Raw genomic sequence first — 22,221 nt, 5'->3', positions numbered from 1 at the left:
AAAGGCTTGTCACTCTCACCAGATCTGACGTCAGTCTAAGGGCGGCTGCTTCCCAGGGTGGGGCCCAAATTTCAAGAGGAAGCCCCACCTGATCGGACCGTTTCCAAGCTGTCCTGGGGCAGGAGGCCGGCGGGAACCGAAGCTAGACTTGTCAGAGCCTGGGGCGGGGCTGGCGGAGGCAGAGCCAGCTGGAGGCGGGGCCTGCGCCTGGCTGAAGTGACGTGCTGGGCTGGGGCAGGGCCTGGAAGAAGCCAAATCGAGGCGGGACCTAAGCTGTGACGCAAGGAGAAGGAGGAGGGGCCTGTATGGGGCCGGGTGGGGAGGAGGCGGACTCAAATGGAGATGGGGTGGGGCTCAGCAGGGGCGGAGCCAGGGTAGAGACTGAGTCGGCGCCTGGCGGGTGTTGTGACGCGCAAACCAGGGGCGGGTTCTAAGCGGCGACGCGCGGGTGCTGGGAGGCCTTAGAACGCCGTGGCGTGCCGCAGGACGCGACGGCTGCAGAACATCCGCCGCACCGCTGGGGGCCAACGTTGTCGGACCGAGGAGTCCGAGGTGGCGACTGAGTGAGATACCCAGCTGTGCGGAGCTAGGACGCGGAACATCCCAGAGGCCAGCATCAACATGTCAGTACCGCACCCTTCCCATTTGCTGCCTGTAGGTCCACCCCGCGCGTGCGGTCCCCAAGTGGCCATGCCACCCTGCACGCCCTCCCCGCGTCAGTCGTTCGTTTCCAGACCATGCCGAGCCACACCTGCCCACAGAGTCGAGCTCTCGAAGTCCTCATTCCCAAAAGCTCCACAGCCTGTGACCCACTAGGAGGGAGGGGGAAACCGAGGCCCGGGAGAGACGGAGAAGCCACTCTCTGAGGACCCCGGAGCCCCGCCCACAGTGGGTGGGGTCGGCACTGAAGGGGTTAAGGCCGCGGGGAAGCCCCGGGCTCAGCCCTAGGGGCGGATCCTGGGGCTTCCTCCCTCTAGACCAAAGGGTGCGGCTGCTGCAGAGGTGGCTGATGCAGGTGAGGGGCTTACAGCCCTGTGAATGGTGTGGGAGGTGAGGGGAGGGGGGTGCCTGTTACTGACCAGTGTTTAATTGGCCTCAAGCTCAGGAGAGGTAAGGGGAGCCAGGAGGCCCCCTCTGGAGCAGGTGAGTAGAAGGAGGGGGCTCAGCTGCCCGCCCACGACTAGAAAACCCCCAGCATAGACCTGCCGGACGGCAGGACCTTGGTTAAGATGGGAAAACAGTAGGGTTTGGGCACAGGAGGTCTGGGCCCCCAACCTGGTGACCGTTGGACACCCTGTGGATATAGGAAGGAAGCTGTGGTCCTTATCTAGGGTGCCTGCGAAACTCAAGCCAGTGGGGAACCAAGCCTGCAGAGGCAATACTGCTGTGTGACTGTGGGCCAGGCCCAGTGCTGGTGCTGCTGGGGCCCCATCTGAGGAGACAGTTGGGTCTATATCCAAAGTGTCCTGAGATGGGCAGAGTTGGGAAGGGGGCCATGGGCTCCAGGTGGGGAAGGCAGTCAAGACAGGCCAAAGCTCAGCCTGATGGGTGCATGAGTGGGGCCCCAGGATCCACTAAGGCAGTGGGCATAGCCCAGGTAGTTGAAAAGGCTGGGAGCTGGAGGAGACTCGGAACATAGGGAGAAGAAAGGGACAGGAAGACTCCCGGGCAGTTTTTCCTATGGAGGGAACCTTGGGTAGGTTTGAGCAGGGGGTATAGTGTCTGCTTTGCATCTTCTATCCCATGCCCTAGTGGTGGACTAGGAGGACTACTGGAAGACAGAAGGCCAGCAAGTAGATTGGGTCGGCTGTTTTATAGACCTGGTGGTTACAGACCCCCTGTGAGGGGAGGTCCTGAGGAGGACAAATTTGTAGCCAGAGCAGGCTGGGGCCAGGACTCCTAGGTTCTGCCCCAGCCTTAAGCAGCTCATCCATCACTCCCAGCCTCCCTCCAATGTGGGGTAGACACCTGGATCTATCTGCCCTGCTCTATAGGGGATGGGTCTCTTCCAGGTCACCTGTGCTATCAGGTGAGTGTGGGACAAAGTGCAGCCCACCACTCCCCAGTTCCAGTATGCATGGTCCCCCCTGCACTCTGTCAGCCCTTCCCTGCTCCAACCCCACCCTCCCTCCTGGCACAGCCCAGCATGGCTGTTATCTACAGGAGGAGAGCCACTGTGGTCTGAAGAGATGCTACTGCCTGGAGACTGGGGTCTTAACCTCCAGCCTGGCACTGAGCCACCTGCAACCTAGCAGCAGGTGACCTTGGCTCCCAGCCTGACTCAGCTGAACCTGGATCCTGTGCATAGGCAAGAGCTGACTCTGAGCCCTGGCCCAGCCAAGCTGACCCCTACACTAGACCCTACACACCGGATGGAGCTGATCCTGAGTACCAGCCCAGCTGAGCTGACTCTGGATCCTGCGTGCCAGCCAAAGCTGCCCCTGGATTCCACATGCCAACCAGAGATGACCTTCAATCCTGGTCCAACTGAGCTTACCCTGGATCCTGAACACCAGCCAGAGGAGACCCCAGCTCCTAGCCTGGCTGAGTTGACCCTGGAGCCTGTGCACCGCCGACCCGAGCTCCTGGATGCTTGTGCTGACCTCATCAATGATCAGTGGCCCCGCAGCCGCACCTCCCGCCTGCACTCCCTGGGCCAGTCCTCAGATGCCTTCCCCCTCTGCCTGATGCTGCTAAGCCCCCACCCCACACTTGAAGCAGCACCCGTTGTGGTGGGCCATGCCCGCCTGTCACGGGTGCTGAACCAGCCCCAGAGCCTCTTAGTGGAGACAGTGGTGGTGGCCCGGGCCCTGAGGGGCCGTGGCTTTGGCCGCCGCCTCATGGAGGGCCTGGAGGTCTTTGCTCGGGCCCGGGGCTTCCGCAAGCTGCATCTCACCACCCATGACCAGGTGCACTTCTATACCCACCTGGGCTACCAGCTGGGTGAGCCTGTGCAGGGCCTGGTCTTCACCAGCAGACGGCTGCCTGCCACCCTGCTTAATGCCTTCCCCACAGCCCCCTCTCCCCGGCCACCCAGGAAGGCCCCAAACCTGACTGCCCAAGCTGCCCCAAGGGGTCCCAAGGGACCTCCATTGCCACCACCCCCTCCCCTACCTGAGTGCCTGACCATCTCACCCCCAGTTCCATCAGGGCCCCCTTCAAAAAGCCTGCTGGAGACACAATATCAAAATGTGAGGGGGCGCCCCATATTCTGGATGGAAAAAGACATCTGAGGCCATCCAGGGCAAGGAACTGTCTTTCTGGTTCAATAGACTGCCCCGACAGTCTACAAGCCTCAGCCCACTGACCATACCTCAGCCCCTAGCCCCTGGGGGGCAGCTTTAACCTGGGCATGTTTCCTGGGTACCAGTGGGGCCAGGAGGTGGCTCTGGCTCAGAGCCGTCAGTGTGGCTGAATAAAGGCTCTCTTGGGTATGGCTGTGACAGTTTATTTGTTGATCCCCCTACCCTCACCTCTCACCTCTTCTGCAGGTCCCTTATCCCTGCAGAAGTCTCCAGATCCACCTTGGCCCTGAGGCCATTGATGGGAGGATGCCTGTCCTTTGCCTTTACCCCCCACCTGGCTCAGGAGACAGGGTGGCTGTTTTCTTCCCCATTCACTCATTACCATTCACTGAGCACCTACTGTGTGTCAAGCCCTGGACGGGACATAGGCAATGGGTAACTAGACAAACAGGCATACAGTAGCAGGATCCATGTGGCACAGGGGAGGTACAGAGGCTTTGGGAACCCAAGTGACTTCACTCCACCTGGGGATCCAGGAGACCTCCCAGGGCAGTGATGTCACAGCAGAGACCTGAGTGCTAGGTAGGAATTAAACCAGGCAGGTGAGGAGGTGGGAGCTGACTGTTCTTGGAAGAGGGAACAAGGTGGGCAGAGGAAAGAAGGGGACTTGTGACAGTTGTGGGAGGACACAGTGGTGTATTGACAAAGACGGAACATGGGAGGGAATGTACCCTCAGCTCACTGTAAAGCCCGCTTTGGTGTGCACCTGCCACTCGATGCCCGGGGCATCATAGCCAGCTTGCGGTGTGGCTGCTTTAAAAGGCCCAAGAGACCCCTGGGGAAACATGCTTTCCCCAGCTCCTCCTGTAAGGATGGGGAGGAGCTGGGGGAGCTTTCCTGGCTTTCCCTGCCATGTGGAAGGTGTGGCCATAGCTGCGGACTCTAAGCTTACACCCCCCTCTCTCCTGCAGGTTTCCATCCTTGGGGAATGACCACGCAACTGGGCCCAGCCCTGGTGCTGGGGGTGGCCCTGTGCCTGGGTTGTGGCCAGCCCCTACCACAGGTCCCTGAACGCCCCTTCTCTGTGCTGTGGAATGTACCCTCAGCACACTGTGAGGCCCGCTTTGGTGTGCACCTGCCACTCAATGCTCTGGGCATCATAGCCAACCGTGGCCAGCATTTTCACGGTCAGAACATGACCATTTTCTACAAGAACCAACTCGGCCTCTATCCCTACTTTGGACCCAGGGGCACAGCTCACAATGGGGGCATCCCCCAGGCTTTGCCCCTTGACCGCCACCTGGCACTGGCTGCCTACCAGATCCACCACAGCCTGAGACCTGGCTTTGCTGGCCCAGCAGTGCTGGATTGGGAGGAGTGGTGTCCACTCTGGGCTGGGAACTGGGGCCGCCGCCGAGCTTATCAGGCAGCCTCTTGGGCTTGGGCACAGCAGGTATTCCCTGACCTGGACCCTCAGGAGCAGCTCTACAAGGCCTATACTGGCTTTGAGCAGGCGGCCCGTGCACTGATGGAGGATACGCTGCGGGTGGCCCAGGCACTACGGCCCCATGGACTCTGGGGCTTCTATCACTACCCAGCCTGTGGCAATGGCTGGCATAGTATGGCTTCCAACTATACCGGCCGCTGCCATGCAGCCACCCTTGCCCGCAACACTCAACTGCATTGGCTCTGGGCCGCCTCCAGTGCCCTCTTCCCCAGCATCTACCTCCCACCCAGGCTGCCACCTGCCCACCACCAGGCCTTTGTCCGACATCGCCTGGAGGAGGCCTTCCGTGTGGCCCTTGTTGGGCACCGACATCCCCTGCCTGTCCTGGCCTATGTCCGCCTCACACACCGGAGATCTGGGAGGTTCCTGTCCCAGGTAAGTGGAAGCTGAGGTCTAGGGGTCTGAGTCAGGAGGTATGGCCCTGTTCTAGGAAGGTCCCAGGAGAAGACCTTGCCTAGGGGTTGGTCCTAATCTAGGCGTTCTCAGCGGAAGGCCCTGTCCTGGAGCATCTGATGAGGGAGGCATGGCTTTGCCCTGGAAGATGTTGAGGGGTAGGGAGGCCCAGCCTTTGGAGTGCTGGCCTGAGGGGAGATATTCTGAGTGGAAGGCCTGAGAAGCCACTCAGAGACTCGATACAAAGGGGCCCTACTTGGGCTGGGTGAGTGTCTCACACCTATAATCCCAGTACTTTGGGAGCCTGAGATGGAAGGATTCCTTGAGGCCAAGAGTTCGAGACCAGCCTGGGCAACATAGTGAGACCCCAACCTCTACCAAAAAAACATTTGAGACAGAGTCTTGCTCTGTTGCCCAGGCTGGAGTGCAGTGGCACCATCTCAGCTCACTGCGGCCTTCACTTCCTGGTTCTAGTGATCCTCCCACCTAAGCCTCCTCCCGAATAGCTGGACTACAGATGCATACCACCACACCCAGCTAATTTTTATATTTTTGTAGAGATGGGGTTTTGTCATGTTGCCCAGGCTGGTATTGAACTCCTGGGCTCAAGTGATTCTCCCGCTTTTGCCTCCCAAAGTGTGGGATTACAGGTGTGAGCCACTGTGCCCAGCCTAAAAAATTATTAGCCAGGTGTTATGCACCTGTAGTCCCAGCTGCTTGGGAGGCTGAGGTGGGAGGATTACTTGATCCCAGGAGTTCAAGGCTGCAGTGAGCTATGATCATGCCACTGCACTCCAGCCTGGATGACAGAGTAAAACCCCGCCTCTAAAACCAAACCAAACTAGAGAGTCCCTACTGTAGAGTTAGAATCAGATTGTGACAGTGAACCAGAAGAGTTTCTTGAATGTGGATGTGTGCCCACATGGATCTGGCCAGCCCAGCACTGGCTTAGCAGCTCTCTGCCTCCAGGATGACCTTGTGCAGTCCATTGGTGTGAGTGCAGCACTAGGGGCAGCCGGCGTGGTGCTCTGGGGGGACCTGAGCCTCTCCAGCTCTGAGGTGATCATTGCCCCTTTGAGCCTGCCATGTAGCACATGCTGGGGTCCCAGGGTGGGGGACGGCCATGTCAAGATTATAGAGCAGGCATATTGACACATATCTTCCCTTCTCCTCAGGAGGAGTGCTGGCATCTCCATGACTACCTGGTGGACACCTTGGGCCCCTATGTGATCAATGTGACCAGGGCAGCGATGGCCTGCAGTCACCAGCGGTGCCATGGCCACGGGCGCTGTGCCCGGCGAGATCCAGGACAGATGGAAGCCTTTCTACACCTGTGGCCAGACGGCAGCCTTGGAGATTGGAAGTCCTTCAGCTGCCACTGTTACTGGGGCTGGGCTGGCCCCACCTGCCAGGAGCCCAGGCCTGGGCCTAAAGAAGCAGTATAAAGCCAGGGCCCCTGCCACTGCCTCTTCTTTTCCCTGCTGCCACTTTTCCAGTCCTGGAACTACTCTGTCCCACTCTTGCTCTATTCAGTTTACAGTCAACCCTCCCAAGCACACACCCCGCTTCCCTTGGAATCCCTGAGGGGTAGAAGGGGCCAGAAAAAACGCTTATAAAACCAGAGGCCCTCTGAGATCATGTGAGTCCTCCATGGCAAGGAAGCAGTTCCAGGGAGAGTCAGGTTCCAGCTAGTTAGGGCTGCCAGCCTAGGGCTTTGTGCCTACACCTCACTAAGCCCATGGAGAGGTCACAGATGGGCCGTGCACGGGCAGATGGGCCCCAAAAAATCTTGGCGAAGGTCGGTAAAGTGCTAAGCTGTTGTCTGCACTCTTTCATCATAAAGTCACTTTTTTCCACTGCCTGAGGTTTGGCTGTTGCTCCTGTTATCCCAAGCTCTAAGCCCTTCCCATGGTCCCCAGACCCAGGCAGGGGTAGGTCTCGTCTGGAGTGTCCCGCTGCCAAGTGCCCTGAGAAGCCAGTCCTGCCTTGGTGCTCCACTGAGGGACGCTTCGGAGTTAACCACCGTGCACTTGTTCCCGACGCGGGGCTGGGGCGCGCGCAGGGCATTGTGGGTGCATAGTTCAGCCAGCGCGTCGTCGGCTGGTGGGCCCCAGGCGTGGACTACCATTCCCATGGTGCTCTACGCGCAGCTAGCCGCCGTCGCCTGCGCGCTCAGGCCTCTGGGATTAGTAGTTTTAGCCTCGTGGATGTGGGCCTGAATCGGATGGCCTGGAACTCGCCTTCCCGGCGACCTGTTTGGCAGGGCGGGGCGCCTCGCGAAGATGGTGGCGCGCGTGGCGTGTGGCTCCCGTCGTCTGGCCAAGTCTCAGCGCAGCGCACCGGCCGGCGTCTCGTTGGCCTGGAGCCCACACCCACCGGGTCCCTGACCCCGCGCCCCCCGCGCCCGGTTCCCGGCATGCCTCGCGCCCGTAAGGGCAACACGCTCCGGAAGGGTGGTCAGCGCCGTGGAGGAGGTGAGTGGGGTGGGGGGCGCGGGACAGCTGTATGAGCGGCGGGCGGGGGTCCTGCTGGATCCCCTTGGTTGTTCTCGAGGGCCCTGGGTGGGGAACCCCCTCGGCCAGCCCCACGCAGCTTCCCATAACTCTACCGAGGCTGGCACGTGCCCCAGCAGTCATTGGCCACGTGCGTGCCCAACTTGAGCTCGCTGCCCACTGCCTGTTGGGAGTCCGCGCTCCCAGCGGTGACCCGGCCAGCCCCTCCGGGCCTCAGTTGCCTGCTGGGTGGACAAACTCACCGGACAGGGCAGGAAGCCAGTCCTCTTGCCAAACCCTGATCCTTTCCTGGACTGGTCAAGGAAGTTGGCGGGAGTCCTGGCCTGCTCCGGTGAAGAGAGGGAGGGGGCTCTGTTGGGAAGCTACCTGGTTAGGGCCTTGGCAGCTTGGCAGGCCTGACTCCACAAGGTAGCTGAGTATCCTGGAGCCTGAGGCAGTCTTGGGACTCGCTTATCAGCTTAGACCAGGAGCCTATCTTAATGCGTTAAACACATATGTTTACTCTGCTGGGATGGGGTGCCTACCACGCACAAATTTATTTATTTTTATTCTTGAGGGGGAAGGGAGGAGGGCCGGGCACAGGAAGGAGGAAAATACCTAGGCACAACTTTAAACTGGTCACCACCATGGTGGGTTTTGGGTGGGGGACATCTAATAGGGTGTGGAACATGTTCACTGAGTGGTGTCAGCCCCAGACTTAGGACTCAGGGAGGCCTGGGGGGAAGTGCTTCTGGGTGAGTCCTGAGAGGATGGAGAAGAGAGCAAGTTGTACAAAGACCTGGCAGCTGGAGGGACCCCAGCGCAGTGGAGTGAATGAGGGAAGGCTGGGCTGCTCCGGCAGGTAGAATAGTAAGATAAAATGGGAGCAGGCTGGGCGTGGTGGCTCACACCTGTAATCCCAGCACTTTGGGAGGCCAAGGCAGGCAGATCACCTGAGGCCAGGAGTTCGAGACCAGCCTGACCAACATGGAGAAACCCTATCTACTAAAAATACAAAATTAGCTGGGTGTGGTGTCGTATGCCTGTAATCCCAGCTACTCGGGAGGCTGAGGCAGGAGAATCACTGGAACCCGGGAGGCAGAGGTCGCAGTGAGCCGAGATGGCGTCATTGCACTCCAGCCTGGGCAACAAGAGCAAAACTCTGTCTCAAAAAAAAAAAAAAAAAAAAAAGGTGGCGGGGAGCAGAGGCCAGTGCGCAGGCTGGACTTTGTCCTGCAGATGAGGGGTGTGAGTAGTTCTTAGAAGTAGGGCCAGCCTGGTGATCACACCCTGTCCAAAACTCTGCCACAGCAGCCAACCTTGCCAATGTCAGCCCTTGGCCCTGGACAGACCCCACACACAGGAGTGCACCAGCCCTACTGAACTGACCCTTGGCTTTGGTTTTTCATCTCTGAGAGGGACACCATTCTATCTTTTGGGATTATGAGGTCGAGTGAGGTACCCCCAGCCATCCCTCATCAGTAGAGGCAAGTTGAGTGTCCTATTCCACCTTCTCCAGGTGCCCGGAGCAGTGCCCAAGCTGACTCGGGTTCCAGTGACGATGAGGCAGCCAGTGAGGCCCGCAGCACCGCCAGTGAATGCCCCAGCCTTCTCAGCACCACTGCAGAGGACAGCCTTGGTGAGAGCGGGTGGAAGTTTGACAGGGGCTTGGTGAGGGCTCCATGGGCTGAGGACAAGAAGCGGTGCTGACCAGGTGGCCTTGCAGGGGGGGATGTCGTGGATGAGCAGGGCCAGCAGGAAGACCTTGAGGAAAAGCTGAAGGAGTATGTGGACTGTCTCACAGACAAGAGGTACCCCTGGCTGCCAGCCAACTCCTACACCCAGCTCCAAGTGTGATCAAGGGAGGGCTGGCCCATATGACCCCCCTTCTCGACCTCCCCCAGTGCCAAGACCCGGCAGGGTGCTCTTGAGAGCCTGCGCCTGGCCCTAGCGTCCCGCCTACTCCCCGACTTCTTGCTGGAGCGCCGCCTCACGCTAGCCGATGCCCTGGAAAAGTGCCTCAAGAAAGGTTGGACCTGGGGGTGTGTGGGAGACTTAAACTGGGCAGACACTGGCCCTTGCTGCATGGGCTGACTGGAAAGCATCCCACAGGGAAGGGCGAGGAACAAGCCCTGGCTGCTGCTGTGCTAGGCCTGCTCTGCGTGCAGCTGGGCCCTGGACCTAAGGGTGAGGAGCTGTTTCACAGCCTGCAGCCTCTGCTGGTCTCTGTGCTCAGTGACAGCACAGCTAGCCCTGCTGCCCGGCTCCACGTGAGTGTGCCTGTGCCCCATGAAACCCTTCCTGCACCTTATCCCTCAGCAGAGTGGTGGGTTCCCCCTATCTTCAGCCTCCTTTACTCTGAGGGGAGTGAGCTCCAGGGCTGGGAACCCAGGTTCACCCGCTGACCGTGGCATTGCATTGCCCTTCTCCCAACAGTGTGCTTCTGCCCTTGGCCTGGGCTGCTACGTGGCTGCCGCTGACATCCAGGTGAGGGGTCTTTGGGCACAGGTGGTAGAGCATCTAGGGCTGTAACTCTGCCTCTGAGCTCCCCTGCCTCTCTGTGCTCCTAGGACCTGGTCTCTTGCCTTGCCTGCTTAGAAAGTGTTTTCAGCCGGTTCTATGGCTTGGGGGGCAGCTCCACAAGTCCTGTGGTTCCTGCCAGCCTGCACGGCCTGCTCTCTGCTGCCCTGCAGGCCTGGGCATTGCTGCTCACCATCTGCCCTAGCACCCAAATCAGCCACATCCTTGACAGGTAGGGGTGGCTGTCCACTGGGAGGGGGAGGGGATCTCAAAGAGGCCCCCAAGCCACACATATAGCTCAGCCTGCCCCTTCCCTAGGCAGCTGCCCCGGCTGCCCCAGCTCTTGTCCAGTGAAAGTGTGAACCTGCGGATCGCTGCCGGTGAAACCATTGCACTGCTCTTTGAGCTTGCCCGGGACCTTGAGGTGCGAGGGACAAGGATGGGGGGTGCTTGGTGACACCACCTGCCCATCACAGGCTGGATGCAGGGGGTGCCACACAAAACAGAACAGCTTTAGGTCATTATGCAGAGGAGGTGGCCCCAAAACAGATTTATCTCCTAGATGTCATGATGGGTGCCCTCAGCAGTGGTGTCCTGGCCTGACAGAGGCCAAGGAGGGGTCAAAGGGGCCAGGCAGAGAAGAGAGGGTCTCTCAGTGAAAGGAGGGGTTTGGGCAGTGCCCTGTTCAGAGCCAGCAGAGCTCAAGCATCTACCACACACCCTCCAATGCTCCCATTGCAGGAGGAGTTTGTTTACGAGGACATGGAGGCCCTCTGCAGTGTCCTGCGCACTCTGGCCACTGACAGTAACAAGTACCGTGCCAAGGCTGATCGTCGGCGCCAGCGCTCTACTTTCCGCGCCGTGCTGCACTCCGTGGAGGTGTGTGTGAGAACATATGTGTCCTAGCAAGGGTGCACCCCCAGGCATAGCAGCCAAGCCCAGTTGTGTTGGCACCTCTACCCTGCAGGGCGGTGAATGCGAAGAAGAGATAGTGCGCTTCGGCTTTGAGGTGCTCTACATGGACAGCTGGGCTCGGCACCGGATCTACGCTGCCTTCAAGGAAGTGCTGGGTTCGGGCATGCACCACCACCTCCAGGTGCGGGGACGGACAGGGAGGGGACATCTGGTGTGGTTGCTTCAGTCTGGCCTGAGCTCACTGCCCTCTGCCCCCCAGAACAATGAGCTACTCCGTGACATCTTTGGCCTGGGCCCTGTGCTGTTGCTGGATGCCACTGCCCTGAAGGCCTGCAAGGTTCCACGCTTTGAGAAGGTTTGCACCCTTGGGCACCTTTCTCTTCCCCCTATTCCCATTTCCTGGAGGCCTGGAATTCTGTAGAGGCCGGAAGAGGACCCCCAGCCCTTTCCCTTCCCAGCTCCCCAGGGTGTCACTCTCTGTCCCCACTCTAGCACCTGTACAATGCTGCTGCCTTCAAAGCCCGGACCAAGGCTCGAAGCCGTGTGCGGGACAAGCGGGCAGACATCCTGTGAAGCAGGACCTGCTGAAGAGGAGACTTTCTATGCCCTTGGTCCGTATTTTTAACAGAAGACAGTGCAACAACTGGTCTCCACCAGTATTTGTCACTTTATTTTTTTTAATGACAAAACCAAAAACAGACATGGGGTGGGTAGCTGGGGGCCCGGACACTTGGGACCCTGACCCCTTTGTCCCTGCACTCAGCCCTGTGGCCCCTTCCTGTCCTGTCTCAGGCCAGGCTAAATATGTGCCTTCCTCAGGGCTGTGGGGCAGGCACTAGGGGGCCTTTCCCTTCCTTTCCTTTCTCAGGCCTTGCTCCCCCAGGATGACCCACTCTTAGGGGGGTGGTGGCATCTGGACAAATGCCACCACAGCAGGTGGGGTGGCAAAGCTACCTGGAATGGATTTGTGTGCTGATTTTTAAGGATTATTACAGATAATTAAACAGAACGGTCAGCCTTCTGTGGTCTTAACCCCTGGGTATTTTTCTGTTCTCCCTCCCCATCTACTATCCCAGGCTTGGGCCCAACTGGTCTTCCACGATGTCACCTTTGCCCTCCAAGGCAGTCTTCCCCAGGTGGTGCCTCTCCCCCTACTCAGAGCCCAGCCTGTCTTTAAGAGCTGAGGCTGGACCCTCACTGGGAGCCCTGGCAGAGTTTGGGTGATTGCTATGGGGGCAGCTATTTCTAGACTTCAGAACCTGCCATCTGGGGTGGCCAGAGAGTGTTGACAGGCCACAGGAGGAGCCAGGAGGCTGGTGCCCCTTCCCCTGACCTTGGGCCACCCAAAGCGAGGCTTTGGCACCAGAGGCTTGGCTAGGCCTGGCTTGAAGAGATCAGGAGAGGGAGGCAGCCATTAAGTTAACAACAGGTTCTTGTACAAAAATCTCACCAAGGAAATAGTGTAGATGTGGCAGCCAGCAGTAGGGAAGGAGAGACCTGCCCATAGCCACTTTATTCCCCCACCAACACACACCCCCAGGCCCCAGATCCAAATGGCATCTCAGCTGGGTGCTTGGGCCTCACTGGAGTTGAGCCTCCGAAGCTGGCTGAGGCTGGCCAAGCGGAGTTTGAGTAGTGTCTCCTCCTGCGTGCGGAGCGTGTGTGCCAGGATGCGCAGGGATTCACTCTGCAGCACTGTGAATGGGAAGTGGGGGATCATCAGACCATGTGCCACCCCGTGACCCCTGCAGACCCAGCCCAGGACCAGGGGCAGCCACGGGCCTCCCGCCCCATCCTTCACTGCTGCAGCATCTGCAGTTACTCCTTCCAGCTGCACAGAAGGGCCTCCCAGTCCCCACTGCCTTGCTTTCCATTCCTACTAGCACCCTATGCGTCCATACCGCTCAGGTAGACAGCCAGGAGTGCGAGCACTAGGCAAGTGAGCACCAGCAGCGCGAGCAGCAGCAGGAACCCTCCTCGTCTGTACACAGGGCTGCAGCCAGCCTGGGCACACAGTGACGGCGGCAAAACGCCCAGCAGCTCATCCCACGGTCGTGCCTCTTCAGTTAGATAGGGGCGCAGTGTGCCTGCTGGGTGGATGGGACATTGGGAGGGTGGTGGGTGCACCTGCTTTCGTCCCCTCCCCCAGCACATCATCCACCCCACTGTCCCCACTCACCTCCACTATGTAGGTCGCTGATGGACTCCACCTGGTGCAGGCATACCTCATGCACGTGGTTGGGGGCCAATGGCCCCCTGCTCCTCTGGCTGGGCATCATTGGCGCCACGGAGTCTGCAGGGGCAGCGCAGGCTGATTTAGCCAGTGGTGGGTCAACCCCCTTCCTTCTACCAGGTGGCTTCAGGCAGCAAGGACTTGCGGATGATAGGGATAGTGGGACATTTGGTTCCAAATCCCCTAAAACTGACTCAGGAATTACCCTTGATTTGGATCCAGGATGATCCCAGACCCTTACAGGCTTATTCTGTATACAGGAGCAACAGGTACATTTGATTTGTTTCCTTCCAAGCACCCCAGGGACTCACTCAGGCATTCCTCTGCCTGCTTATTTCTAGCAGTTTATCAGCCTTGAATGCTAAACCTGCAGCAAATGGAATTCAGTCCTGCCTCTTTTGTCAGTTCTCCCTGCAGACCCAATGCCTGGCATCTTCTGGTCAGAAAGCCCTATTGTAGCCACTCTGGTGCCTTTCCCTCCTGGCCTTGGTTCTGTGTTTGTTAACATACTCAGTGTGACTCTGCTGTACATGTGTGAACCCTGCTGTTTTCATTCAACATTTACTGTTGGGGAGACCCTTCTTTGTTATACTGTTGCACATGCCTCTGAGGTCTCTCCCTTCACACATCTCCCTGAGGCTGCCTGGGCATCTAGGTTGTTTGCAGTCCCCGCCCCCCTTTTTTTTTTGAGACGGAGTTTCGCTCTTGTTGCCCAGGCTGGAGCGCAATGGCGCGATCTTGGCTCACCGCTGCAGTTCCCTTTTGAAATTAACCCCCAGGACATCCACCGTTGAATATGAAGGTTTTTTCCCAATTTCCTGATAGTTTAATTCCCAGAAGTGGAATTACTGGATCCAAGAGCAGGGATTTTTGTTTGTTTGTTTGTTTTTTGAGATGGAGTCTCCCTGTATTGCCCAGGCTGGAGTGCTATGTCGTGATCTCGCCTCACTGCACCTTCCACCTCCTGGGTTCAAGCGATTCTCCTGCATCAGCCTCCTGAGTAGCTGGGATTACAGGCGTGTGCCACCACGCCCAGCTAATTTTTGTATTTTTGGTAGAGATGAGGATTCACCATGTTGGCCAGGCTGGTCTGGAACTCCTGACCTCAAGTGATCTGCCCGCCTCGGCCTTCCAAAGTCCTGGCATTTACAGGCATGAGCCACTGCATTTGGTCGTTTTTTGTTTTGGTTTGGTTTTTTTAAGATGGAGTCTCCCTCTGTCGCCCAGGCTGGAGTGCAATGGCAAGATCTCGGCTCACTGCAACCTCTGCCTCCCGGGTTCAATCAGTTCTCTGCCTCAGCCTCCTGAGTAGCTGGGATTACAGGCGCCTTCCACCACACCCAGCTACTTTTTATATTTTTAGTGGAGATGGGGTTTCACCATCTTGGCCAGGCTAGTCTTGAACCCCTGACCTTGTGATCCACCCACCTCGGCCTCCCAAAGTGCTGGGATTTACAGGCGTGAGCCACCGTGCCCGGCCTGTTTTTTTGTTTTTGAGACAGAGTCTTGCTCTGTTGCCCAGGCTGGAGTGCAGTGGCGCAATCTTGGCTCATTGCAACCTCCACCTCCTGGGTTCAAGTGATTCTCCTGTTTCAGCCTCCCAAGTAGCTGGGATTACAGATGTGTGCCACCACGCCCTGCTAATTTTTGTATTTTCAGTAGAAACCAGGTTTCACCATGCTGGCTAGGCTGGTCTCAAACTCCTGACCTCAAGTGATCCGCCCGCCTCAGACTCCCAAAGTGCTGGGATTACAGGCGTGAGCCATCGCGCCTGGCCTGAGATTTTTGTTTTGTTTTTGAGACAGATTCTTACTCTTTCACCCAGGCTGGAGTTCAGTGGAGTGATCACAGTTCACCGCAGCCTCCACCTCCTGGGCTCAGGTGATCCTCCTGCATCAGCCTTCCCAGTAGCTGGGACTACAGGCATGCACTACCATGCCCAGTTAATTTTTTTTGTATTTTTTGTAGAGACAGGGTTTTACTATGTTGCCCAGGCTGGTCTCGAGCTCCTGGTCTCAAGAGATCCATCCTGCTTGGCCTCTCAAAATGCTGGGATTACAGGTGTGAGCCACCATGCCCGGCCTGATTTTTTTTAAAGCTATTACCAAACTGTCCTCCAGAAGCACTGTCCACAGCTCCCCCGCAGGGTATAATATTGCCACCATTAGGCATCCCCATAGGAAAAAAATTATATTTACATGCACACGTGCACACATATATTTGCTAACTTGAGAGATGAGAAATGGTCTTTCTTATTTTATTGGGTTTCTTAGCCTAGGGAGTGTGACTAATACGTGTGTGGCGCTTTTTTTTTTTTTTTTTTTTTTGAGACAGTCTTGCTGTGTTGCCCAGGCTGGAGTGCAGTGGTGCGATCTCAGCTCACTGCAACCTCCACCTCCCAGGTTCAAGCAATTCTCGTGCTTCAGCCTCCCAAGTAGCTGGGACTACAGGCACCTGCCACCATGCCTGGCTAATTTTTGTATTTTTAGTAGAGACCAGGTTTTGCCATGTTGGCCAGGCTGGTCTCAAACTCCTGACCTCAAGTGATCCACCCGCCTTGGCCTCCCAAAGTGCTGGGATTATAGGCGCAAGCCACCATGCCCAGCTGTGTGTGGCTTCTTAATTATCAATTTGAAGCCTCTGCCCATTTAGTCACTTGGGTCTGTGTACTTTTCTTTTGATTTTAATTATGTACTTTCACACTCATTGAAGTTTTTGCTTTTTGTTTGTTTGTTTGAGACAGAGTCTCTGTTGCCCTGGCTGGAGTGCAGTGGCACGATCTGGGCTCACTGCAACCTCCGCCTCCCGGGTTCAAGGGTTTCTCCTACCTCACCCTCCTTAGTAGCTAGCACTACAGGTGTGCACCACCACACCCTGCAAATTTTTTTTTTTTTTTTTTTTTTTGAGATGGAGTCTCGCTCTGCCGCCCAGGCTGGAGTGCAGTGGCACGATCTCGGCTCACTGCAAGCTCCGCCTCCCAGGTTCGTGCCATTCTCCTGCCTCAGCCTCCCAAGTAGCTGGGACTACAGGCGTCCGCTGCCATGCCCGGCTAATTTTTTGTATTTTTAGTAGAGATGGGGTTTCACCATGTTAGCCAGGATAGTCTCGATCTCCTAACCTTGTGATCCGTCTGCCTCAGCCTCCCAAAGTTCTGGGATTACAGGTGTGAACCACCGCGCCCGGCCAATTTTTGTATTTTTTGATAAAGATGGGGTTTCACCTTCTTGGCCAGGCTGGTCTTGAACTCCTGACCTCAGGTAATCCACCCGCCTCAGCCTCCCAAAGTGCTGGGATTATAGGCGTGAGCCATCGCACCCAGCCGGTGTTTCGTTTGTTTGTTTGTTTTTGAGACAGAATCTCCCTCTCTTGCCATGCTGGAGTGCAGTGGCGCAATCTCAGCTCACTGCAACCTCCGCCTCCCAGGTTCAACCGATTCTCCTGCCTTAGCCTCCCGAGTGGCTGGAACTACAGGCACGTGCCACCACGCCTGGCTAATTTTTGTATTTTTAGTAGAGACGGGGTTTCACCATGTTGGCCAGGATGGTCTCGATCTCTTGACCTCGTGATCTGCTCACCTCAGCCTCCCAAAGTGCTGGGATTACAGGCATGAGCCACCATGCCTGGCCTTTTGTTTGTCTGTTTTTTTTGAGACAGAGTCTTACTGTGTCACCCAGACTGGAGTACAGTGGCATGATCTCAGCTCACTGCAACTTCTGCCTCCTGGGTTCAAGTGATTTTCCTGCCTCGTCTCCCCAGTAGCTGGGATTACAGGCACGTGCCACCATGCCCAGCTAATTTTTGCATTTTTAGTACAGCTGGGGTTTCACCATTTTGGCCACGCTGGTCTTGAACTCCTGACCTCAAGTCATCTGCCCATCTTGTCCTCCCAAAGTGCTGGGTTTACAGGCATGAGCCACCGTACCTGGCCAATATTTAATTATATTTTCTTCTAGTTGTTCTTTAACTTGATGTCTAAAAATCCTGGTCCAGATGCCAAGAGCTCCAGATACCCACCTGGAAGCTGATAACAGTAGGGAAGAGCATTGAGGGGACACCTCCAGATAGGAGCAAGGGTGGCCTTGCACTCTGGGACTGTCATTCTCAGGACAGTAACTCAACCTCCATGATTTACTTGAAACTGCCTCTTGACGTGCTCAAAAGCAAGTACAACAAAAACAAGCAAGTGCTGCCAGTCATTATGTCTGGGTGGTGGGTTGAAGGTCATATTAAATTCTCTCTTTGGGCCGGGCACTGTGGCTCATGCCTGTAATCCCAGCACTTTGGGAGGCCAAGGCAGGAGGATCATTTGAGTCTAAGAGTTTGAAACCAGCCAGGGCAACGTAGGGAGACCCCATCTCTACAAAAAAATCAAAGATTAGGGCCGGGCATGGTGGCTCACACCTGTAATCCCAGCACTTTGGGAGGCTGAGGTGGGCGGATCACGAGGTCAGGAGTTCAAGATCAGCCTGGTCAACATGGTGAAACCCCATCTGTACTAAAAATACAAAAAATTAGCCGGGCATGGTGATGGGCGCCTGTAGTCCCAGCTACTCAGGAGGCTGAAGGCAGGAGAATAGCTTGAACCCAGGAGGCGGAGCTTGCAGTGATCCAAGCTCAAGCCACTGCACTCCAGCCTGGGCGACAGAGCTAGACCTCGTCTCAAAAAACAAAAAAGTAATTAAAGATTAGTTTGGTGTGGTGGCATGCTTCTGTGGTCCCAGCTTCTCAGGAGGCTGAGGTGGGAGGGTTGCTTGAGTCCAGGAAGTCAAGGCTGCAGTGAGCTGTGATCATGCCATTGTACTCCAGCCTGGGCAACAGAGTGAGACCCTATCTCCAAAAAAAAAAAAAAAAAAAAAAAAATTCCCTGCTGCCGGGCGCAGTGGCTCACACCTATAATCCCAGCACTTTGGGAGGCCAAGGCAAGTGGATCACAAGGTCAGGAGTTTGAGACCAGCCTGGCCAATATGGTGAAACCCCGTCTCTACCAAAAATATTTAAAAATTAGCCAGGTATGGTGGCAGGCGCCTGTAGTCCCAGCTACTTGGGAGGCTGAGACAGGAGAATCACTTGAACCTGGGAGGCAGAGGTTGCAGTGAGCAGAGATCGTGCCACTGCACTCCACCCGGGGCGACAGAGCAAGACTCCGTCTCAGAAAAAAAAAAAAAAAAAAGGGCCGGGCGCAGTGGCCCATGCCTGTAATCCCAGCACTTTGGAAGGCCGAGGTGGGCAGGTCACGAGGTCAGGAGATCGAGACCATCCTGGCTAACACAGTGAAACCCCGTCTCTACTAAAAAATTCAAAACAAAAATTAGCTGGGCATGGTGGCTGGCGCCTGTAGTCCCAGCTACTCGGGAGGCTGAGGCAGGAGAATGGCATGAACCCGGGAGGCAGAGCTTGCAATGAGCCAAGATCGTGCCACTGCACTCCAGCCTGGGCGACAGAGCAAGACTCTGTCTCAAAAAAAAAAAAAAATTTCCCTCTTTGTACTTTGTTGTGCTTTTCTCACACTTTCTAAATTGAATGTGAATTGTTTATTACAGGAAAAACACACAGTAAATGTTATTGTTAAGATCCCAAAAGAGGGTAGGCACAGTGGCTTATGCCTCTAATCCCAGCACTTTGAAAGGCCAAGGTGGCTGGCCGGGCGCGGTAGCTCACACCTGTAATCCCAGCACTTTGGGAGGCCGAAGTGGGTGGATCACGAGGTCAGAAGATCGAGACCATGCCGGCTAACACAGTGAAACCCCATCTCTACTAAAAATACAAAAAATTAGCCAGGCGTAGTGGCGGGCTCCTGTAGTCCCAGCTACTCAGGAGGCTGAGGCAGGAGAATGGCGTGAACCCGGAAGGCGGAGCTTGCAGTGAGCTGAGATCGCGCCACTGCACTCCAGCCTGGGCGACAGAGCGAGACTCCATCTCAAAAAAAAAAAAAAAAGAAAAGAAAGGCCAAGGTGGGAGGATTGGATTGGTTGAGGCCAGGAGTTCAAGACCAGGGAGACCCTTCTCTACACACACACATGCATGAAAGTAAACATTTCCCCCTACCAGGGGCAAGGCCCCTCTCCTGCAATGTTGAAAATGTTGGCAGTGGCTCACGCCTGTAATCCCAACAATTTGGGAGGCCAAGGTGGGTGGATCACCTGAGGTCAGGAGTTTGAGACCAGCCTGGCCAACACGGTGAAACCTTGTCTCTACTAAAAATACAAAAATTAGCCGGGCATGGTAGCACATGCCTGTAATCCCAGCTACTTGGGAGCCTGAGACAGGAGAATAGCTTGAATCTGGGAGGCAGAGGTTGCAGTGAGCCGAGACCGCACCACTGCACTCCAGCCTGGGTGACAAAAAAAAAAAAAGTTGAGGCCAGGCGCGGTGGCTCACCCCTGTAATCCCAACACTTTGGGAGGCTGAGGTGGGTGGCTTACGAGGTCAGGAGTTCAAGACCAGCCTGGCCAAGATGGTGAACCCCCGTCTCTACTAAAAATACAAAAATTAGCTAGGCATGGTGGCAGGCGCCTGTAATCCCAGCTACTTGGGAGGCTGAGGCAGAGAATTGCTTGAATCTGGGAGGCGGAGGTTGCAGTGAGCCGAGATCACGCCACTGTACTCCGGCCTGGGTGACAGAGCGAGATTCCATCTCAAAAAAAAAAAAAAAGTTGAAAATGTGATAAGAGGAGCTTGCTAGCTGGGCCATGCTCTGTCATGGGCCATAACATGGAGCCATGGAGCAGACAGTCCTACGTCCTGGCCAGTACTGGACCTGTAGCTTCCTAGATTCCTGCTGCCCTGGCCCCTCTGAGCATCAGTACTTCTTATATGCAGTGGTGCAGTTAGGTGAGTGGCCACCAAGCTCTTGACTAGCTGAGTCTCTGTCTGACCAGGCCAAGGGACCCCCAACCCTAGGCAGTTGGGGATATTTAGACCCAAGTCAGGGGAGGCCAGAGGCCTAACTACTTTTCAGTCCATGGGACAGGTACCCAAATGCTTTCTGGAACCACTACCCACCCCAATCCCAGCTTCCTTCCTTAAGAGCTGAACCGGCCAGGCAGCTGACCGGATGCCCACACCCACCTGAGCACAGCCTGTAGTTGACCCACTCCTAACTGGGTAGCTTCTCCCATCCCTCCTTGATGTCCCCAGCAGGGGAAACTGAAGCAGGGCCTGAGGTGACAAGGGGCTCCAGGCATGGCAGGCTTTTCCTCCCTGCACAGGGGGCAGGTCCTTTTACTGGAGCTGGAGCATGAAAATGGGTAACTAACTACTCAAGACAGTGAGGTCAGTGGGACAGAGGGTGGGTCTCTCCATGGTCCACAAGGTCACAGGACTGAGGCCTTGCCCTCCCTCATGGTCACCCTCTCCTACCTTCTTGGGTCTCCTCAGGCATGGCAAGCAGTGGGCAGTCGGGGGCCAATGATGGCATCCAGTAGCAGGACTGGACAAATGCAGCAGTGGCTCCTTTGTGAGCCCAGGGAAGGCCTGGCTGCCTCCCAGCCTTGGCCTAAAATAGGCCTGAGCTCAGCCCACTGGGCTATATTTAGAGGGGGCAGCCCTCAGCCATGGGAAGGGGCAGAGTGATCCACGTGGGCCAGCCTGAACTATCTACCTGGTGAGGGAGCCAGCCAGGAGCCTGCCTCCACTAGTCCAGGTGCCCAGGGACCTTCAAGGGGAAGCACACCTCCCCCATACATCCAGAATGGCCACTCCAGGCTCAGCAAGGCCCCATGTGGCAGCCAAGACAGACAAAGGAAGCCTGTGCATCTCTATTTGGCCACCCCTCTACCCCTGCAGACTCCTACCCACAGCCCAGTCATCTCTCCTCCCAGCAAACACAGCAGCCTCCACTGCATGACCTGCTAGCACACAATGCTATTGTTGTGTGTGTCTTATAGAGGGTGATGGACAACTGAATCCCAATGCCATGAGGGCTCTGATAGCTTCACAAGTGGGCAGATACACCAACAGCACCCATGCTGGCCAGTGGGTGGACCTAGGTTGGAGGCTGGTTCATTTGTTACTAAGCTTGCAACCTTAGGTAAAGGGTCTCCCCTCTCTGAACTCAGTTTGCTCATGTGTAAAGTCGGAATAACAGTGGCTCCTCCCTGGCAGTGTACACTGAGAACAACATCTGGAGCATTTAGCACAATCCACGGTTTTGGTCTTCCCCTGCTCCCATCTCCACAAGGGCAGACAGGTCCCATAAGGTTGTGTAAGGATGCGCATCACTGCTTACCTTGAAAGGAGGAGGTGGTCCAGCTTCCAGCTTTCCCTCTGTGGTTGGATCCCTGTGCCCTTCCTTCCCAGTGGGGGCAAAGCAAGACTGTGGGCTCTACTTCCTACACACCTCAAACCTGTCACTCCGTTGTCTCACACTGGCCTCCCTGATGTTCCTCAAAGTCAACAAGCTTGTTACCACCTCAGGGGCTTGGTGGTGGCTGTTCCCTCCTGGAATGCTCTGCTCCCAGATAGCCCTGTGGCCAGCCCCGTCTTGTCAGCGAACTCAAATGCCACCCCTTCAGTGAGGCCTTCTGTGTACATTCTTTTCCACATCACCCAGTTTTCTTTTCTTTGAGACAGAGTCTCGCTCTGTTGCCCAGGCTGGAGTGCAGTGGGGCGATCTCGGCTCACTGCAACCTCTGCCTCCCTGGTTCAAGCAATTATCTTACCTCAGCCTCCTGAGTAGCTGGGATTAAAGGCGCGTGCCATCACACCCACCTAAGTTTTGTATTTTTAGTAGAGACAGGGTTTCACCATGTTGGTCAGGCTGGTCTTGAACTCCTGACTTCATGATCCGACTGCTTCGGCCTCCCAAAATGCTGGGATTACAGGCGTGAGCCACTGCGCCCGGTCCAGTTTTATTTTCTTCCTAGCACTTAGTCCTGAAGTTATATTATGCACAATGTACCCTGCGTGTCACTATTC

The 22,221-nt window shown here is 56.3% G+C and overlaps 4 protein-coding genes across 14 annotated transcripts, besides 4 other annotated features; 3 read left to right on the top strand and 1 right to left on the bottom strand.

Moving 5' to 3' along the window:
* Positions 431-3,434, top strand: NAA80 (N-alpha-acetyltransferase 80, NatH catalytic subunit). Of its 3 annotated transcripts, none has more exons than NM_012191.4 (2): positions 431-623; positions 2,309-3,434. In NM_012191.4, coding segments are annotated over exons 1-2 (927 nt in total). In that variant the 5' UTR covers positions 431-621; the 3' UTR covers positions 3,234-3,434. The 3 variants fall into 3 exon arrangements, with proteins under 3 accessions (NP_036323.2, NP_001186945.1, NP_001186947.1); NM_001200016.2 differs by having other exon boundaries at positions 2,164-3,434; NM_001200018.2 differs by lacking the exon at positions 431-623 and adding an exon at positions 976-1,015.
* Positions 431-7,004, top strand: HYAL3 (hyaluronidase 3). Of its 5 annotated transcripts, none has more exons than NM_001200031.2 (4): positions 431-623; positions 4,983-5,127; positions 6,115-6,204; positions 6,321-7,004. In NM_001200031.2, coding segments are annotated over exons 1-4 (507 nt in total). In that variant the 5' UTR covers positions 431-621; the 3' UTR covers positions 6,591-7,004. The 5 variants fall into 5 exon arrangements, with proteins under 5 accessions (NP_001186960.1, NP_003540.2, NP_001186961.1 ...); NM_003549.4 differs by having other exon boundaries at positions 4,217-5,127; NM_001200029.2 differs by lacking the exon at positions 431-623 and adding an exon at positions 976-1,015 and having other exon boundaries at positions 4,217-5,127.
* Positions 698-837: an enhancer, noted in NCBI's record as "active region_19899". NCBI's record gives its function as "activates an Ori minimal core promoter by ATAC-STARR-seq in GM12878 lymphoblastoid cells {active_cell/tissue: GM12878}" and the evidence as "EXISTENCE:reporter gene assay evidence [ECO:0000049][PMID:35858748]".
* Positions 5,973-6,528: an enhancer, noted in NCBI's record as "H3K4me1 hESC enhancer chr3:50330739-50331294 (GRCh37/hg19 assembly coordinates)". NCBI's record gives its function as "activates a minimal SCP1, AML or CMV promoter by ChIP-STARR-seq in naive and primed H9 embryonic stem cells {active_cell/tissue: H9 hESC(naive and primed)}" and the evidence as "EXISTENCE:reporter gene assay evidence [ECO:0000049][PMID:30033119]".
* Positions 6,919-7,108: an enhancer, noted in NCBI's record as "active region_19898". NCBI's record gives its function as "activates an Ori minimal core promoter by ATAC-STARR-seq in GM12878 lymphoblastoid cells {active_cell/tissue: GM12878}" and the evidence as "EXISTENCE:reporter gene assay evidence [ECO:0000049][PMID:35858748]".
* On the top strand, positions 7,407-12,104 carry IFRD2 (interferon related developmental regulator 2). The gene is made up of 12 exons (NM_006764.5): positions 7,407-7,619; positions 9,157-9,276; positions 9,364-9,448; positions 9,542-9,666; positions 9,750-9,907; positions 10,074-10,124; positions 10,208-10,389; positions 10,476-10,581; positions 10,899-11,036; positions 11,125-11,253; positions 11,332-11,427; positions 11,565-12,104. The coding sequence occupies exons 1-12, from the start codon at positions 7,562-7,564 to the stop codon at positions 11,643-11,645; spliced, it is 1,329 nt and encodes a 442-aa protein (NP_006755.5). The 5' UTR covers positions 7,407-7,561; the 3' UTR covers positions 11,646-12,104.
* Positions 7,489-7,698: a silencer, noted in NCBI's record as "silent region_14390". NCBI's record gives its function as "represses an Ori minimal core promoter by ATAC-STARR-seq in GM12878 lymphoblastoid cells {active_cell/tissue: GM12878}" and the evidence as "EXISTENCE:reporter gene assay evidence [ECO:0000049][PMID:35858748]".
* LSMEM2 (leucine rich single-pass membrane protein 2) lies at positions 11,722-21,929 on the bottom strand. 5 transcript variants are annotated; one of them, XM_011533370.4, is made up of 4 exons: positions 21,533-21,929; positions 13,252-13,365; positions 12,974-13,162; positions 11,722-12,767 (listed from the first exon to the last, which is right to left on the bottom strand). In XM_011533370.4, the coding sequence occupies exons 2-4, from the start codon at positions 13,349-13,351 to the stop codon at positions 12,634-12,636; spliced, it is 423 nt and encodes a 140-aa protein (XP_011531672.1). In that variant the 5' UTR covers positions 13,352-13,365; positions 21,533-21,929; the 3' UTR covers positions 11,722-12,633. The 5 variants fall into 5 exon arrangements, with proteins under 5 accessions (XP_011531672.1, XP_006713042.1, XP_006713043.1 ...); XM_006712979.5 differs by lacking the exon at positions 21,533-21,929 and adding an exon at positions 20,906-21,526; XM_006712980.5 differs by lacking the exon at positions 21,533-21,929 and adding an exon at positions 20,906-21,526 and having other exon boundaries at positions 12,974-13,159.

Source organism: Homo sapiens, chromosome 3 (assembly GCF_000001405.40).
Source record: "Homo sapiens chromosome 3, GRCh38.p14 Primary Assembly".
Taxonomy (NCBI): domain Eukaryota; kingdom Metazoa; phylum Chordata; class Mammalia; order Primates; family Hominidae; genus Homo; species Homo sapiens.
This window is presented reverse-complemented; position numbering and strand designations above follow the sequence as displayed.